The sequence below is a fragment of the Homo sapiens genome, chromosome 5 (assembly GCF_000001405.40).
Source record: "Homo sapiens chromosome 5, GRCh38.p14 Primary Assembly".
NCBI classification, from domain to species: Eukaryota; Metazoa; Chordata; class Mammalia; order Primates; family Hominidae; genus Homo; species Homo sapiens.
The window spans coordinates 68,394,752-68,409,871 of record NC_000005.10 but is presented as its reverse complement, the minus strand read 5'-3'; the positions used below and the strand labels follow the sequence as shown (position 1 = coordinate 68,409,871).

Genomic DNA, 15,120 nt, shown 5'->3' with positions numbered 1-15,120 from the left:
TAATTTTTAATATCAATAGAATATTTTGATGGCTTACAAGATGTTTTTGGCTTACTTTCTTGCAAATGTATTAAGTCATCAATTTTATTCATTTCACTTAGAAGTAAAACCCCTACTGAGCTGCCCATAGCTCCCAGAAAACTGCTTGGTCTCAGAATGTTTTCAGAAAAACTGTACAAAGATACTTCATCTCTGAATACCTCATTCGACAGAAGGTAGGGAGAATTTCTCTGCTAATTCCTGGCCCCACTGGTAAACGTTGTTCCAAAGGATATTTAACTTGCCTGTACTTTTTAGGTTGCGGTTACATGGATGCCAAGTGGGTCCAAGGCATCTCATGTCTCAGAAGCAACAGAAAATTCCTAGAACATGAGGCAAGAGGCTTGAAGCGTGGACTGAAGTATGGTGCTGTTGGGGTGTGTCCTTGAGTCATTTGCAGGCCTGGGGGAGCAGTCAATGAAGCAGCCTGCAGTCAAGGCTGAGGCAGCAATGACTGGGCTCCATGAGCACAAGCTTTTGCTCCACTCAAGGCCAAAATCAAGGAAAGTGAATAGACCTAGAGTGATGCATGAACTGGACCTGAGGACACTTCCAAACTTCTGATGACATTAAATGGAAGGGTATCAAATAGCATATCATACACCTATTATTGAAGCATAGAATAGGCCAGATCTGAACTTATTCTACAATTTGTCTTCATTCTATTGGTAATGGAGAAGGGCTCAATAAGGGCATTGTCCTTTCTGACACAACCAACCACACAATTGCAAATTGACTGGGAATGCAGGTGAATGGAAACTGGGACCCAGGCCTAAAACTCCTGATGAAGTCAGAATTTAGATGATAAATATTAGAGTTATCCCACAAAGGTACTTAATAATCCTAGGAGGTCATAAATAAAACAATTAATTTAAGCTATCTAAACACTCCCATAACCTTCATTTCTTATATGATCCTTAGATCCTGCCACATATTAAAATTACTTAGAATCCTAGAACATGAGGCCCTTGAAAGTTGTTTATCCTGTTTCTTCTTGATCAATTCGCATATTTCTGGGTAAAATTAGCAACTCAGTATAATTTGTTGACTTAAATGCAATTTTGTATTCAGGGCCAGCTATACAATTTGCAGGGCTTAATGCAAAATGCAAATGTAGGACTCATATTCAAAAAACAGGAAGTGTCATTATAGCCGAGCACAGTGGCTCATGACTATAATCCCAGCTACTCAGGAGGCTGCAGTCAGAGAATCACTTCAGCCCAGGAGTTCCAGGCTGCAGGGAGCCATTATTGTACCACTGCACTCCAGCCTGGGTGACAGAGTAAAACCCTATCTCAAAAAAAAAAAAAAAAAAAAAAAAGACCAGCTTATTGAAGGGGGCGGGGAGGAGAATCCTGCCAAAGTTCTAAAGTATAAAGCTTTTTCCTATAAAATATTTTACTTGCAAAACATAGGAGTAACTGATACATGAGTAACAACACAAACTTACAAATTGAAAAAAGTATTTTTGGTGCCTTAATTTTATATAATCAATAAATACAACAAATTAATCAGAATTAGAAGGTAATTTAATAAATTAATATTTTGACTGCTTACAAGATGTTTTTGGCTCACTTTCTTGCAAATTTATTAAGTCATCTAATATGGGCTGGCTCTGTGCCCCCACCCAAATCTCATCTTGAATTTTAATCTAAATTGTAAGCCCCACGTGTTGGGGGAGGGGCCTTGTGGGAGATAATTAGATCATGGGGGTGGACCCCCAGTGCTGTTCTTGTGAGAGTGAGTGAGTTCTCATGAGATCTGTTGGTTTTATAAGGGGCTTTTCCCCACTTTACTCGGCACTTCACTTTCCTGCCGTCATGTGAAGAAGGATGTATTTGCTTCCCCTTCCACCATTATTGTAAGTTTCCTGAGGCCTCCCCAGCCCTTCAGAACTGTGAGTCAATTAACCTCTTTCCTTTATAAATTATCCAGTCTTGGGAAGTTCTTCATATCCGTGTGAAAATGGACTAATACATTATCAAATTTATACTTTCAGTAACTTCATTTTAAAGTATATTGAAAATGATGTCATCTTGACAAATTCAAGATTAAAAAGAATTTTTGATAATTTTTAATTTTAAGAAGAATCTGGATACAACTAACTGGAGTTAAGAGTTCTTTATAGGCTATGATAACATAAGCATCACTTTCTGATAATTTCAAAATATAAATTGTTTAACACATCTGGAACTGATTTTCTAGAATATTTTTTCTAAAATGATTTAACTCTTCATATATATTAGTTCTGTGTAAGTTTAAATTTAATTATGTATGTAAATTTATACAATGGCCTTTAAACGTTTCCTCTGACATTTCCTGTAAACCTGTGGAGGTCGTATAAGAAACCACAAGTTACTTCATGATTTGTATATGAATGAAAACACATACTTATGCATTCTGTTGCCATATCTTCAATTACAAGGAAATTTTTAGTATTAAAATTGCTTTCTTCATTAATAATTGGTTCATCTAAAGTGTCATGTGAAAATAGTGGCTGGTTGGTTTGTTTGCTTGTTTGTTTTTCTCATTTAACACTATAATATTTCTGTTCTATTTCTTTGCTAAATCTCTATAGAGATTTGCTTTGTAATGTTGTGGTGGCAGTTTTTAAAACCAAAGATTCTAAATGCTTTGAAGAATTCCTGTAACTCCCTGATGTGCTTTATGTTCCTGTGTTCACTTTTGTTTTGTAAAAACTTACTCTCAGAGTTTACTGCTTTCACACTGGCAGTTCCTGTTTCAGCATTAAGAAGTGGAAGAGTTAATATTTGTGTAGGCAAGGCGTGGTCAGACAGACAAGCTAGCCTCCCGTCACGGGTCCCCATCCTGTCCCCAGGTGAAGCTTCTCCTTTCTCCCGGGGCTGTGACCCGTTGTGCAGATACTTTTGCTGCTGCTGTTGATGACATGAATCTGGGCCTAAGTCGAGCCCCAGCCAACCCCTTTGACCCCTCGGTGCCCTGGACTGCCTGGAGGCTACTCATGTGCTGGACAAACAGGCCAATTGCTGGAGCATGCAGCTTGCTGTGCTTGGCACAGCTGCTGCTGGATCGCAATTGTGAGTGCTCACTGCTGTCTGGTAGATCTTCTCTGCTCACATAAATACTCAGATAGAATTATTAAGAATCCTACAGTGGTGACAGAAGAGCATTAAACCAAGTGTGGGCCCTTGCAAGTGCAGAGCCTTGTGCAACTGCACTGATCGATGGAACAGGTATCACACCCATGAAGCTGGCCCTGGCTTTATCTTAATTTTAGAAAGACATCTGTCTGCTGTGAAAAATATGGGCCAGATCAATGGCATTCAAACGTTTTAGATTCCAACCACAGTAAAAAGTATATGAGTACATTTTACATTATGACTCAGAATACACACACACACACACACACACACACACCTGTATACCTCTGCAATGAAAGTTTCCTGAAACAATACTTGTAATTAACACATGAGCAGCCCTTTTATATTTTCTGTACATTTTTTAAGGCTACTAACAACCCACTCAACTGATTTCACAACCTATTAATCAGTTGCAACCCTGCAGTTTGGAAAACACTGGGCTAGATAGTGGTGCCAGTTGATAGCTTGATGATTATAATAGTCTGCATTTTGCATTTTAAAACTTTGAAATATTGTCCATTATCTAACTGAAAAATCTTGCTCAAAGGCAGTTGATTGTAAGAATAGTTGTAAAATAGGAGAGAAGTGTTTTGTGATGCAAGACAGGGCTCAATACTCAGTGCTGCCTGCTTGAATAGTTTCATCAATTATTTGGATAAAAACGTTTTATTCCCATTCGACATGTTAATTGAGCACAGCTTCTGTGCTGAGTCCCATTCTCTGGCTGGGGTTGTTCACAATCAGATGAGCCCAAACATGTGAATCAGTATGATGAGGTTAAATGCTGTGACAGAGGTCAGCACCAGGGCCATGGGAGTACACAAGAAGAAGGTGTGCACTCTTCACAATGCAGACCAGTCAGGCACTGTTTTGGGAACTTTTAGGGAAAGCTCCCAAAATACAAATTATGAATACAATCAAAATGAGGGGGATGGAAACAATGTACATATTCTTTTGCTCATCCCCAGTATATACAGACCGTATTGCATATACAATAAAATGATGTTCTAAAACAAAAATGAAAATAGCTTGACTTAACAAGTGATGTCAGAGGTTCAAAAAAGATTTGATCCAAAAAGAATCTCTTTTTTTTCTCTTGATTTCTCTTGATTTTTTCAATGGGGTTTACATAGCTTTTTGTTTTCTTGTTTGTGATGGCTAATTTTATGTGTCAACTTAACTGGGCCACAGAGTGCCCAGATATTTGATCAAACATTTTTCTGGGTATTTCAGGGTGGGTGTTTTTGAATGAGGTTAATGTTTAAGTCCATAGACTAACTAAAGCAGATTGCCTTCCTTAATATGAGTAGGCTATATCCAATCAGTTGGAGGTCTAAATAGAACAAAAAGTCTGACCTTCCCCTGAGTAAGAGAGAATTCTTCTTCCTGACTGCCTTCAAATTGGGACATCACCTTTTTCCTGCCTTCAGTCTTGAACTGAAGCATCAGCCCTTCCTGGGTCATAAGCCTTCTGGCCTTTGGATTGGAATGATATCATTCGCTCTCCTGAGACTTTAACTTGCTGACTCACCCAGCAGATCTTGACACTTGTCAGCTTCTATACCCACACAAGCCAATTCATTATACTCTCTCTCTTTTTCTCTAAGAATATATAAATACATATCATTTGGTTCTATTTTTTCTGGAAAGCCTTGACTAACACATTGCTATAAAAATGTTTTAAAGTTATTTTAATGTTCTTTTAATTATAAAAAGCAAAGTAACTTTATTAAAAATGAAGCCAGGTGCAGTGGCTCACACCTGTAATCCTAGCACTTTGGGAGGCCAAGGCAGGGAGATCACTTTAGCCCAGGAGTTTAAGACCAGCCTGGGCAACATAGTAAGATCATGCCTCTACAAAAAAGTAAAATAAAAAATAAATTAGCTGGGTGTGGTGGCACCTGCCTGTGGTCCTAGCTACTCAGGAAGCTGAGGTGGGAGGATCACTTGAGCCTGGTGGTCAAGACTGCAGTGAGCTGTGATTGTATCACTGCACTCCAGCCTGAGTGTCTAAAAAAAAAAAATTGAGTGGAAGGTAGTGAAAAGCCAAAAATAAAAAAATGAAGGTGGGGAGGTAGGGATAAAGAAGGAAGAAAATAACAAGCTCCATAATCCTCCCAACTTTAACCCCTTTTAAGAACCTTAATGTATATCCTTCTAGATCTTTGTGTATATTAATATGTTTATACATACTTAGTATTGTGAATATGGAATTATAATTTATATTTTTCTATAAGCAGTTTTAGTTTTTTCACTTAATAATACACAGTCAGCTTTTTGTGCACATGGGTTCCACATCCACAGATTTAAGCAACAAAAGGATTGAAAATGTAGCTAGGCCTACAATTGTTGTGTCTATATTGAACATGTATAGACTTTTTTTCTTGTCATTCCCTAAACAATACTGGGTAACAACTATTTACATAGAGTTTACATTATGTTAGGTATTATAAGCAATCTACAGATGGTTGAAAGAATAGGGGTGGATGTGTACAAATTATATGCAAATACTGCACTATTTTATATTAGAGACTTGAACATGCAAGGATTTTGGTATTCCTGGTGGGTCCTAGAACTAATCCCCTGTGGATATGGAGGGACCACTCTATTTTCACCCTGTTTCCACGTTAGTAAATCTTCATCTTCTACATCTTTTGTGGCTAACTAATATTCCATAATTTGTTGTCTAATTCTATGTTAATATTTAGATTATTTCCAATATTTAAAAAAATAATCCAAATATCCTTAGAGCTATTCTTTGCACATATCCATTGCATTTTCTCAAGATAAATTCCTGAAGCAGAATTTATTGGACATAAGACATATACATTTTTAATGTTTTTTGTACTTTTTGGGGGGAGCATGAATTGCCTTCCAGAAAGAGTGCCCCAATTTAGGCTTCTGCCCACATAGTATGAATGCCTAACATGCTTTCTAAATATGTAACATCTACAAAAAATACAAACTAGAGAAGTAATATATTAGATGACTATAAAAACTTCCCATAATCTCAACAGTTTTCATCCTAAAACTACTAAGATGAACATTATCAGAAATAACTAAAAGGTCTTTCATTTAAGTCTGTAAAAATAACTTTTGCATATGCAAGTTGCAAAAAACCTGTGGTGTCTGGTTATCTATGGCTGCATGACAAATCACCTCAAAATTTAGAGGCTTAAAACAACATTTATTTTGCTCACGAATATGCAATTTGGGCAGGGCTTGGTGGGGACAGCTCATTTCTGCTCCACTCGGTATCAACTGGGCGGCTTAAAAACTGGGGGCTGGAATCATCTGCAGGCTCATACATCACATGTCTGGAGGTTGATGCTGGTTGTTGGAGGGACTTTAGTGGGGCTTGTCAATCAGAACACCTACATGTGGACTCTCCGTGTGGTTGCCTGGTGTGCTCACGACATGATGGCTGGGTTCCAAGGGCAAGTGTCCCAGGCTGGAACTCATCTTTATAACTTAGCCTTAAAAATTATATAGTGCCATTTTCTTCATAGTCACAGGCCTGCTTAGATTCAAAGGAAGGGAATATAAGCCCCCCACTTCTCAATGGGGGAGTGTCAACATCACATCTTAAGAAGAGCAGGTGGAATGTAATATATTGGTGCAGTCATCTTTGGAAAATACAATCTGCCACATGTCCTGTGAAGAACGTGTTTTAGCTTCAGGAACAATGTGAATGTACATTTCCTGTACGCCAGCTAGAATCTTAAGTTGCTCTGGAATGTATGTTCCTAAATATATGAAGCACATATTTCCCCCTAAAATTAGCCCTCAAAAAGGAGAGTGGCCTTATAGTTGAGTCTGCATATGATAGATGACTTTACTATTGTTTGTGTAAGATATAAACCTGAAACAAATTCAATATTTGCTTGTTTGGGAATGCTTAGAGAGGTCATCTGATGTGATCAGTCAAAAAGAAGTAAAGAAAGTTTAAGAAGTTATTTATTTATTTATTTATTGAGACGGAGTCTCACTCGGTCACCCAGGCTGGAGTGCGGTGGCACAATCTCGGCTCACTGCAACCTCTGCCTCCTGGGTTCAAGTGATTCTCCTGCCTCAGCCTCCTGAGTAGCTGGGATTACAGATGTCTGCCACCATGCCCGGCTAATTTTTTTGTATTTTTAGTACAGACGGGGTTTCACCATGTTCATCAGGCTGGTCTCGAACTCCTGACCTCATGATCCACCTGCCTCAGCTTCCCAAAGTGCTGGCATTACAGGTGTGAGCCACCGTGCCTGGCCAAGTTGAAGAAGTTTTGGTCGTTATTCTTGGAATATGACTTCACAGCAATAACTGTTCTAGGCCACTGAAAATATTTTAAAGATCACTTTGAAAAGTCAAATAGTAAGTAGTAGACACACCCATAGAATAAATGTGTGAAGATACTCCCCTAATGTTAACAGAAACAGGTATCTATGGCTTGCAATAACATTTCTAGTTTCAGCGTCATACATTTATCTCAAACAAGTTGGACAGAATTGAACACGACACCCTCCAGAAACAGTGTGAGATGATTCAAATTGGTTTACATAATGACAAAGTCAGGGATATCAAAAGTGGATTTAAAAGGTTTGAATAAAATTACTTTATAAGATGTAAAGAAAAAAGCAAGTTTTCTAAAATGATTATTTTGTGAAATGTAATTAAGGTAGAGATGTCTTATGAATAAATTAATATTAGTAAACAGCTGACGATCACCTATGTATCTGATATGGTTTGTGACATGGTTTGGCGTTGTGTCCCCACCCAAATCTCATCTCAAATTGTAACCCCCATGTGTCCAGGCAGGGACCTGGTGGGAGGTGGTTGGATCATGGGGGCAGTTTCCCCCATGCTGTTCTTGTGATGGGGAGTGAGTTCTCACAAGATCTGATGTTTTAAAAGAGTTTGGCCATTTTCCCCTCAGGCTCTCTCTCTCCCCTGTCACCATGTGAAGAAGGTCCTTGCTTCCCCTTCACCTTCTGCCTTGATTGTAAGTTTCCTGAGGCCTTCCCGGCTATGTGGAACTGTGATTCAATTAAACCTCTTTCCTTTGTAAATTATCCAGTCTCAGACATATCTTTATAGTAGTGTGAGAATGGACTAATACAGTTTGGATGTTTTTTCCTCTCCAAATCTCAGGTAGAGACGTGATTTCAATGTTGGAGGTGGGCCTCATGGGAGGTGTTTGGGTCATGGGGGCAGATCCCTCATCAATGGCTCAATGCTGTCCTCACAATAATGAATGAGTTCTCACTGTGAGTTCATGTGAGATCTGGTTGTTTTAAACAGCCTGGCACCTCCCCCTCTCTCTCTCTTGCTCCTGCTCTCACCATGTGACATGCTGGCTCTCCGTCACCTTCTGCCATGATTATAGGCATCCTGAGGCCTTACCAGAAGCTGATGTTGGCACCATGCTTCCCATAAAGCCTGCAGAATTGTGAGCCAATTAAATATATTTTCTTTATAAATTACCCAGCCTCAGGTATTTCTTTGTAGCAATGCAGGAAAGCCTAATACATACCATCTAACAGATATGCTAACCAGAGCTGACACTGTCTAACAAATAATACTGACCAAACACTGAATGTGGAAGAGACGCTGAAGTCTGAAATGTTTTATAAACCATCTGAGATTTTTCCTTTTAAATCCATGTGTGGAAACTCTCAATTTATATTTAGTATTCAGTTCATGATAATTCCTTGGTCCATAATTAATTTTTCCTGCAAATTCAAGCTTTTAAAAAACTCTTTTTATTACCTGGATATTGGGTAGGATTGTGGGGGTGTGAACTTGGATAAACAAGAAATGTTTCTCTGAATGGCAGAATATATGGGTTTCTGTTACAGACTGATAGACTCTAAAGGCATAGCAATTTAGTGTGCATGTTAAGAAGTACTGTTTCATAGAACATATTTGAGATATTCCCTCTAATTAGCAAAAAAAAAGTACCTGGTCAAAGAAAGGTCAGTCCCATTTAAGGTTATTGTTGGGGAGAGGTGTTTGATGTGGTCACTGATGATTTGCCGATGGTGTAACCATTGGGGTGTCTCCTAAAGTATCGATACACATACATGTGTATATATATGTGTGTGTATATAATATACATAATATATATAATATACACATGTGTCAGTCTGTTTTGTGCTGCTATAAATGTAATTTATAAAGAAAAGAGCTTTCATTAGCTCACAGTTCTACAGGCTGTACAAGCGTGGCACTGGCGTCTACTTCTGGTGAGGCCTCAGGAAGCCTACAATCGTGGCAGAAAATGAAGTGGGGCAGTGTGTCCTATGGTGAGAGAAAGAGCAAGAGAGGAGGAGGTGCTAGGCTCTTTTAAACAATCAGCTCTCATGTGAACTCAGAGTGAGAACTCACTCATTTCCTAGGGCACCAAGCTGTTCATGAGGGATCCATGATCATGACCCAAACACCTCCCACTAGGCCCCACCTCTAACACTGGGGATCTCATTTCAACATAAGATTTGGAAGAGACAAATATTCAAACCATATCAATATCACATGTATATGTTGACTTTCTTTATAAGCTACAAAGAAATACACAACAAAATGTCTATAAGGAGAAAGTCAACAATAGTATTTATAACACCTCAACACTACTTCACAGAGTAACCAATATTAAGTTTGGTGTGAATAATTCTCTGTATATCTATATCTTAATTGGCTTTTTCCCAAAAAAATATACAAAAAACACTTCTCACCTAAGCTTTTCTCACATAGCGGCATACCCTGGACATGGTCAATATTCTATAGTCATTACATAAAGCTCCAGCTCATTTTCTGTGACACCTACATAACATCCATGGTGTGCCTGTAACATATTTGTGATTATCTAGGTTGTATCCAGTGTTTTGCCTTTTGAGCAATAAATATTTTTGTAGCTGCATCCTTGTATAATGATGTAGCATGAATCTCTAAGATGGATTTCTAAGTTAAAATGATATATATTTCAAATAGTACTAGAAAGTGCCTTTCCAAAAAAGTTTTAGCAGTTCCCATTCTCACTGAATTGTTTTTTTAAGTGCCCCTTTCCCTACCCCTCACTCCTGCTGGATGTTTAAATATTTGTTGTTTAATATAGTAGCCCTTAGCCATATGTGGCTACTGAGCACTTCCAATGTGGTGCTTCCCCTTCCGCCATGATTGTACTCTAGTGGAAATGTACTATAAATGTAAAATACATGCTAGATTTCAAAGATGTAGCATGAGAAAAAAATGTAAAATAATAATTTTTATATTGATTATATGTGGGAATATTTTAGATAGGTTAAACAAAATTTATTTCTAAAATTAATTTCACCTGTTTCTTTTTATTTTTTGAAATATTTGGCTGCTAGAAAATATAAAATTACAATATATCATGCACATTTGTGGCTTCGACTGTATTTCTGTTGAACAGCAATGTTACAGGTATTTAAAATTTTTGCCAGATGACATTGAATCATTGCCTGAATAGGTTGTTTTGTTTTCATTTAAATTTTGAGTAGGTAATGTATGTACAGAGCACACAATTCGAAAGGAAAAACGGTGCGAGAAATGTCATTTTCTATGATGCTACAAAAAAATTACTATAAACTTAGCGGCTCAAAACATTACGAATATATTCTCTACAGTTCTGGAGATCAGAAGTCCAAAATGAGTTTCGAGGAGTGTATTAGTCTGTTTTCACACTATATAAAGAAATGCCCAAGACTGGGTAAGTTATAAAGGAAAGAGATTTAATTGACTTACAGTTCTGCATGGCTGGGGAGGCCTCAGGAAACTTACAATCAAGGCAGAAGGGGAAGCAAGCACCTTTTTCACAAGACAGCAGGAGAGAAAGGAGTGAGCAAAGGGGGAAGAGCCCCTTATAAAACCATCAGATCTCATGAGAACTCACTCACTATCATGGGAACAGCATGGGGGAAACCGTACCCATGATCCAGTCACCTCCCTCCCTTGACACATGGGGATTACAATTTGAGATGAGATTTGGGTGGGGACATAGAGCCAAACTATATCAGGGAGCTAAACTTAAGACATCAGCAGGGCTGCATCTCTCTGGAGGCACTAGGACAGACTTCACTGCCTTGCTGTTTCTCAGGTTCTTGAGGTAGCTGGCCTTCCTTAGTCTGTGGCCCCCTTCTGTCTTTAAGGCCATCAATTGACATGTCAAATTGTCACTGCTTTTTCTTTTTCTGCCTCTCTTTTTTTCCACTTTTTAAAAAGTTTTATTGAAATACAATTGTCATACTGATAGTTCACCCATTTAAGAGTATAATAATCCTGTGGCTTTAGTATATTCACAAAATTGTTCATTCATCACCACAACCAATTTTAGGTAATTTTCATCACTTTTAAAAGAAACCCCTTATTCTGAGTCATCACCCACATGCCCAGCCCTCCATCATTTCCAGCCTTGGGCAACCAGTAATCTACTTTCTGCCTCTATAGATTTGTCTATTCTAGATATTTCATATAAATGGAACCAAACAATGTGTGGTCCTTTGTGACTAGTTTTTTTCACTCAGCATAATGTTGTCAAGATTCATCCATGTTGTAGCATCTATTAATTCCCTTTAATTGCCAAATAATGTTCTATTGTATCTCTCTTCTACTTCTAAAGATCCTTGTGATTACATCAGGCCCACCCAGACAGTCCAGGACAATCTCCCTGTCTTAAGCTCAACTAACTAATCTTAATTCCATCTGTAATCTTCATTCAACTTTGCCATGTAACCTACCATATTCATAGATTCTGGGGATTATGATGAGTACATATTTGGGGGGCAATTATTCTGTCCATAGCAGTGCCCAACTTTAGGGAGTGCCATTCAAAGGAGAACATAAGTACCCCTCTTCCCAGAGACAAGACTCTTACCAGTGTCTTGTATCTTTTTTAATACTTAAATACTTGGAGAGTCCATTCATTTCCTAGGGATGCTTTTACAATTTACCGCAAACTAGGTGACTTAAGACAGAACTTTATTCTGTCATGGTTCTGGAGGGCAGAAATCCAAAATCAAGGTATTAGCAGAGCTCCACAGGCTCTAGAAGAGAGTCTATTTCTTGCCTCTTCCAACTTCTGGTGGCTCCAGGCATTCCTTGGCTTGTGGCTGCATCACTCCAATTTCAGTCTCTGTCTTCACATGGCCTTGCCCTCTGTGTTCTCTCTTCTGTGCCTTCCCTTGTGTCTCCTATAAGGACAATTGTCATTGGATTTAGAGCCCATGCAGATTGTCTAGGATGATCTCATTTCAAGGTTCTTAACTTAATTACATCTGCCAAAACCTCTTTTCCAAATGAGGTTACATTCACGTGTTCAGAGGTTAGGATATGAACATATCTTTTTGGAAGCCTTCATTCAACCCACTGTGGAGATAATTCTGTATCAATACATGTAGCCTTATTCTTTTAAGCAACTGCGTAGTTGTTCTTGGTAAGAATATATTGTACAGGTATCATATTGATGGATGATAAGTTTGTTCTACTTATGGGTTTTCATTTGGTTGTCAAAATATTTGAAATGGCTTACATAATTTCATAAAGGTGTAAACTTTAAGAAAAATGAGGGCTCATTTAGACCAGCACATGGGTGGAATTACACAAAGGAACCTCAGGGAGGCTCTCGGGTATGCCCCGTGCTGTTATTAAACTGGAGATGATCTCTTAGTGAAGGAGGTGCTGTGTCTGGGAGTATTTCAGCAGGATTCTATTCAGGCTTATAAGGGAACCCAAGGTCACTCTCTGACCAGGAAATAGGGTAGATCCCTGGTTGGCTCTTTGCCATCATTCTTAAACACTGCAGGGGGCATGAGCTTGCCTAACCAGTGAGGTAATATTTACAGATTGCTTGGGGATCCTTAGTGTGCAGATAGCCAGGTACGCCCACATCCAGGAGCAGCCTCTTCTCTCTGGGAAGAACAGAGGGCCTGGAACCTGATTACTTTTTAACCGAGTGCTTGCCAGTATGACAAATGCCCTGCCCAAACACCACACAATCTGTACGTGTGTGCAGAACACTGCCTCATGAAGGCAGCGTTTGATGAAATCTCCCTCTATGTATGATTTCAATGCTACGTTTTATGCCCATTTCTTTATTCTTTGCGAGTTTTACAAGTGAGAGTTTAATATGCAAGTGAGTTGTTTGGTTCATTTACCTACTTCCCTTCCCCCTCAATGCACATGTGCACACTCACCTTTAAAAGAAATCACGCCAGGTCAACTTGGGCTATTGTGTTTCTTAGGTAAGGCTTTTTAGATAAAAACCTGAGGTGAGACACAGCCTGCTTACAGTGGCTTCTGGCCCAGAAGCAGTTTGCACAGATTATATTACACAAAGGCATAATTCAGACAGGGCTCCCAAACAAGGGCATATTGTATCATTGTCACCTGGCTGGGAGTCCTGTTAATGGTTTACATGCCCAAGTCCTCCCATTTAAACCTACACATTCCATTAGGTGGGAAAAACCTCAGGGCTGCTTCTGGCCATCTGTGCAGATGGTCTGAATTCAAGGAGACCTTAAAACTTGGGTGCAGAGGACCTCCTTTCCCCTCCCCCTTCCTCATTCTTCCACTGTCTGTCTCCTCCCCCTGGAGCTGGGCTGGCTTCTCCTGTGACTTTGAGCCTTCAGGGCCCTTCTCAGGGTTCAGGTCTAGCCAAGCATCACGAGGTTTGAGGGGTGGAGGGTAGGTGGTGAGTAAACAGCCCAGAGCAGCACCTCTCCCACCCCCAAGGAAGTAGCTGCTTCAGTGGCTGCTAGGGGTGACTTTCTAGCTCTTTGAGAGCTAGAACTGATTGTTGTATATTCTCTACAGATTGCCCAAGAAGACAATCAGATAACAAAATAACACATTGTCTGATTCTTCATGTATCCTTCAGGAGAATACAAGCAAGCTGCCTTCCTTAACACCGATGGGGGAAATCCCCTCACCTCTTTGCCACATGATGAAACTCTAGTGGGATAATATGAGGATCATGCAAGCTGACATTCAATGAGTGTTCTCAGACTTGTCCAGCCCAGGGCCAAGGCCAGGGCTGGGCTCTTTATGGGGATAATCCCAATCAATCCTCATAAGTACCTTATGAAGTAGTGCTAAAAGAAAAACTTCAGCCGAATTAAATTTAAAGGAGTATAATTGAGCAATGAACGTTTCGAGAATCAGGCAGCACCCAGAATCACAGCAGGTTCAGAGAGACTCCATCGCAGCCACGTGGTGGAAGAAGATTTATAGGTTAAAAAAAACGGGAAATGACATACGGAAGTTGAAGTGAAGTACAGGAGCAACTGGATTGGTTACAGCTTGGTGTCTGCCTCATTTGAACATGGTTTGAACAGTTGGCTACATTTGATTGGCCCAAACTCAGTGAATGGCATAGATGTGGGCTACGGTCAGATTACACCTCTACTTGTTATAGTTCACGATGTATGGAAAAACCTTTAGGCCTATCTTAAATATGTAAGGCGGCAGCTTTAGGCTAAACTTGATTAACAGTAGGTACTATGATTGACAGCATTTATGCAGAGGAAGAATCTTACAGTATGGAGAGATCAAGAAACATGGTCTAAGTCACATCCTAATAAGGCTCATGAAAGGACATAGAGACAGGAGAGGGGACTGGCCTCACTGCAAGTATCCCCGGTGTCACTGCTATGCCCACTTTCTCATTGGCTAAGCCTTACCCTATTTGGGACACACTGACAAGTGCCTGGAAAGGGCAAGAGGCCAAGGAGCAGGTATGAATTGGAAGTGAGGGGCTATTTCTCTGATTAAGTCCAGAATATACAGATGAAGTAGTGCCTCACCACAGCTTCCATCCCCATGAGGCTAGATGGCTAGGCAAGTTCTTCAAAAAGTAGGAGTGACCATGGACCTTTTCTTCTCTTTGCAAACAGGCCATTAATATTGAGGATGATCTTTTCTTCATCATAATCCTTACCTTGATTATACATAAAATGCTTTG

At 39.4% G+C, this 15,120-nt stretch overlaps 2 annotated features.

The window, feature by feature from the left end:
• Positions 296 to 590: an enhancer, noted in NCBI's record as "tiled region #5177; K562 Activating DNase matched - State 8:EnhW". NCBI's record gives its function as "activates a minimal TATA promoter and a strong SV40 promoter by Sharpr-MPRA in K562 cells {active_cell/tissue: K562}" and the evidence as "EXISTENCE:reporter gene assay evidence [ECO:0000049][PMID:27701403]".
• Positions 3,080 to 3,129: an enhancer, noted in NCBI's record as "active region_22631". NCBI's record gives its function as "activates an Ori minimal core promoter by ATAC-STARR-seq in GM12878 lymphoblastoid cells {active_cell/tissue: GM12878}" and the evidence as "EXISTENCE:reporter gene assay evidence [ECO:0000049][PMID:35858748]".